At 38.2% G+C, this 4,775-nt stretch overlaps 1 pseudogene; it reads right to left on the reverse strand.

Annotated features, from left to right (window-relative positions):
• On the reverse strand, positions 1,205–1,939 carry LOC574080 (CDGSH iron sulfur domain 1 pseudogene; annotated as a pseudogene).

The following is a 4,775-nucleotide window of genomic DNA, read 5'->3' on the forward strand; positions in this document are numbered from 1 at the left end:
TAATTACCACCATTAAGAATCTCAAACGCAAAATCAAAACCATTTGGAATGGCTTCCAGGGCAACCCAGCACAGTGAGTAGCCACCAAAATGAGTATATGAGGTTTATGTTCATGCATATTTATAAGGGCACTTAATTCGACATTCATAGTAGGGGGCTTTTGAAAGCTTGTCAAAAGAGCAGCCCCAAAACAAGACCAAACATCAAAGGTAAGAAGATACAGTGCATCTCGCTCCCACACACATACAAATATTGCTTGCAGGAGGCAATGAATAACACCAAAGGAATTATTTATTTTAACTACTCAGAAGAGACGGCAATTTCTACGAAGATGTAAACCACAAGCCTTTGCCTTTATCATTCATCTTATTGATCAGAAAGGTCAAGAGTATAAGTTATTCAAAGGATGGATCATAGGCAAAATTCTGGATAAATGGACATGTAGATTTGTGTGATTAATGCCTCTTGCTTGTGCAGAATATGTGGAAGAGTTTGAAGGCATGTCCTAAGGACAGAAAAAAGGAAAGTATTTGAAAGAATACTGACTATAGCTGAAACACTGCCCATTTTGTGGGTGGGTCTGTGTGTTCAGTATATAGTTGCTGCCTTGTTCAAGTGTTGTGTTCAGAGGCGATCTTGCTGACACTTATACTTTTCAAAACCATTTCCATGACATTCAGCAAATGTTTGTTCTGGCGGAACAAATCTGTTAAATTATAGATTAGAAACAGTACAAAGAAACCTTTACAAATGTTTCAGTTTCAGTTTTGCACAAAGCAAACAGCATTATATTTAAATGCAACACTCCTTGTTAGAATAAAACATCTACATAACAGGGTACTATGCTCGATTTATAATTCTCTTCTCCACTCCGCTTGGGGGGCAGGGATGCCTGAAGTTCTGAAAGCCGCAGTGTTGAGGATCACCTCTCATCACTTCCTTTCAAAAGCCCACATCTACAATCCACTTCTGCTTTCTTGCCATTTCCCTGTCTTTCCCAGCTTCCTTTCCTTAGTTTCCTTCCCCACCCCCTTGACTCTCCATTGTTGCTAGGAATGGTCTAAATGCAAAATAATGACACTTTTCCTGTAATGGCGATCCCATATTATTTAATGGGCATTTAGTTCTATTCAATCCCTCGTTAACACCTTACTCATTATATTGAAAAAATATTGGAGAGTGGCATAGTAGGTTTTTTTTTTTAAATTTTGAGAATAATTTAATGTGTTGACTTTAAGATACAACTACATTCTATATAAGATACAACTCTATATGTCAATACTTTAAAGAAACGGATCTTTACAAGACCAAAATAACCCACAGGCCATGAGGTTGGTTTTCCCTTTTTCCTTTTTTTTTTTTTTTTTTTTTTTTTGTTTAAACAAATGTGCACCACGATGTTTCAACAACTAAGACAAGTGCCATGAACGTGAAAGCTGCAGATTGCAGTATACCACATTTAGAATCCAGGGGAGGTGAATTACACAGAGGTGGTAGTTATTCTCACTAAACAATCAGGTAACTTCATAACAACTCGATTTGCATCATGAAAAATGTCCATTTAAGTTTCTTTTTTCTTGATGATCAGAGGTCTCACATTGTCTCCAGTCTCTTCCTTGTGTTTTGTGTGAGACCCCATCACACAATGGGAACTTTCTGGACCTCCAACAATGGCAGTATCGTATAGCTTTATCTCCCAAATCCTCCATGTCAAAAGCATGTACTATCTTGGGGTTGTCTTTCTGGATGTGAAGGTTTATCGTAGCTTTATTTCGATGATCTTTAACATAAAACCTTTTGTAAGCTCGATAATCAATTGCAGCTGTCCCAGCAGCAGTAGTAACTGCTGTGATTCATTCAAGTCGTCCGCTGGAACTGGTAGTCAGACTCATGGCACCCATACTTGCAAGGTGTGTGCACTAGGATACCGAGCACCAACATGGTAGTTTTAAAAAGCATTCTGGGGATGGATGCCAGGGCACTGCTCACTTACCACAGGTTTCAAGTGACCTGTTTATGGGCATACTTTAGATCCATAACTCAAACATTAAGTCATTATGTAAAGAACAGTAAAGTTTAACTTAGGAATTCTTTGACTACTGAAGAAAGGTTTATTTTTAGGGCTATATGTTGTTTTATGACAATCATTATTTTTAAAATTGCCAAGAAGGTTTTTTTTTTATTTTTGTATTTGCTTGTAATTGTTAGTGACAGTAATTAAATAAACAGGTGATTTAGTTGAGGAAAGATTTGTCAAAAAGATAAAATTATCTACATTGCCAAAATATATCAACATTCCATAAAAGAGAAATAGAAATGAAGTGACTAAGCATGCTTTAAAATGTATTTCAAAATATATTCTAAATATGTTGAAACATATTAAAGAGACATACATTGAACAGCAGTACATACAAGCATATCAAGAGAGTGAGCAGAAAACACAGAAACATAGATATGTTTGCATGCCTATGAAGACAATATGTGTCCAATTAAGAAAATACCGGCCAGGCGCGGTGGCTCACGCCTGTAATCCCAGCACTTTGGGAGGCTGAGGCGGGCGGATCACGAGGTCAGGAGATCGAGACCATCCTGGCTAACATGGTGAAACACCGTCTCTACTAAAAGTACAAAAAAATTAACCGGGCATGGTAGCGGGTGCCTGTGGTCCCAGCTACTCGGGAGGCTGAGGCAGGAGAATGGCGTGAACCCGGGAGGCGGAGCTTGCAGTGAGCCGAGATCGCGCCACTACACTCTAGGCTGGGCGAGAGCGAGAGCGAGACTCTGTCTCAAAAAAAAAAAAAAAAAAAAAAAAAAAAAAAAAAAACAGGCTGGGTGCGGTGGGTCACACCTGTAATCCCAGCATTTTGGGAGCCCAAGGCAGGCGGATCACTTGAGGTCAGGAGTTCAAGACCAGCCTGGCCAACATGGCAAAACCCTGTCTCTACTAAAAATACAAAAGAAAATTAGCTGGGCATGGTAGTGGGAACCTGTAGTCCCAGCTACTCCGGAGGCTGAGGCAAGGGAAACACTTGAACACGGGAGGCGGAGGGTGCAGTGAGCCGAGACAGTGCCACTGCACTCCAGCCTGGGTGACAGAGTGAGAGTGCATCTCGAAAGAGAGAAAATATCACAAAGCTTTCACGAAAGAATGACTAAATAAATGGAGTTATGGAGTGTCTTTAGGAGGGACAAAAACGTAGACTCACTGACATCATATAACAAAATAAAATCAAGGGAGAGACAAGCTAAAATCATAGACTAAAGGAGTCAACTTAGAGTAAATGTAAAGCTGAAATCTTACAAAAATGAAATGATAATTTAGATAATTACTTTTTGTGATCTCTGGACTTCTAGGCATAAACAAACTTTTTAAGCATTCAAGCAACGGAGACAAATCCAAGGGAAAGATCAACGTATTTGAATTAAAATGTATACACGTTTATACATCAGAAAGTAATCAGTAGCCAAGTTAAATGACAAATAACAAACTAAGAAAATACTTTTCTAAAATTCCAGAATTAAAGATAAATTTTAAAAGAACCAATGTCTTTTTCTTTCAGAGTCAACGTGGTAAATAGATCTCAAAGCATAACAACTACAAAAGAATAATGAGCATACGAAAATAATTTAACTTCAGTTACATAAAAGAGTGAAAATTAAAAATAAAGATTTCCTTTTTGTGTTTTTGTGTGGGTTTTTAACAGTTTTGCTTTGTAACATGGCAAATACTTTAAAATGGAAATCCCTCCTTTGTGTAGTCCAGACATAAGCAATCTCAGAGACAACTAGGGTGTATACAAATGAATATCACATTCCTGGAAAGCAGTTTTACTATCATAGAATGAGAGCTTGAAAATCTTATAGAAAACATATTATTGGTTCAAAAATAAATGTATTATCTGCATAAATGATCAGAAATTCATAGAATTACTTATAAAAAATATGGCCATTACAATGAAAAGTTAAGTATTTTTACCCTAAGCATTTTTAAAACGTTCCTATTAGTAGATAAAATAGCAGGAACAACACAAACTGATATCTCTGTCTATGTACATTGATTAGAATTTGCTGGTCCCCAACCTTCATTTATAATTTGCCTTCAGATTCCTAAGGTCTGTGTCAGTGTCAGAGATTTTTTTTTTTTTTTTTTTTTTTTTTTGAGAAAAACGTCCATGTCCTCCAAACCATTCAATACAGGGGAAGACTAAAGGGCAACCAAGCTTTTATGGCAGAAGATGATGTTGGAGAAGGCAGAGAAGCTTCAACCCCAGTTCATCTGGGAGCACTGCAAACTTAGCAATACAGAAGAAAGATACTTAGTGACTAGTTACTGTATGCATTTGTTCAGTTAGTATTTATTTATTCCCTATGAGTAGCATAGTGAGGTACCTCACTACAAACAGAATGATGAATCAAATTTGGACTAATCAGAAGCTGAGAGTCTTGAATAGGAGACGTGCGTGTACACATGCCTGTTTGCGTACATATGTGTGCATATTATTGGAAGTATGGAATATTTTTTTTTCTTTTGTGATGAGGTCTTACTCTGTCACGCAGGCTGGAGTGCAGTGGCACGATCTCGGCTCACTGTAGCCTCTGCCTCCTGGGTTCAAGCAATTCTCCCACCTCAGCCTCCCGAGTAGGAATTACAAGTGCCTGCCACCATGCCTGGTTAATTTTTGTATTTTTAGTAGAGACTGGGTTTCACCATGTTGACCAGGCTGGTCTCAAACTCCTCACCTTAGGTGATCCACCTGCCTCGGTCTCCCAAGGTG

This window comes from Homo sapiens, chromosome 5 (assembly GCF_000001405.40).
Source record: "Homo sapiens chromosome 5, GRCh38.p14 Primary Assembly".
Taxonomy (NCBI): domain Eukaryota; kingdom Metazoa; phylum Chordata; class Mammalia; order Primates; family Hominidae; genus Homo; species Homo sapiens.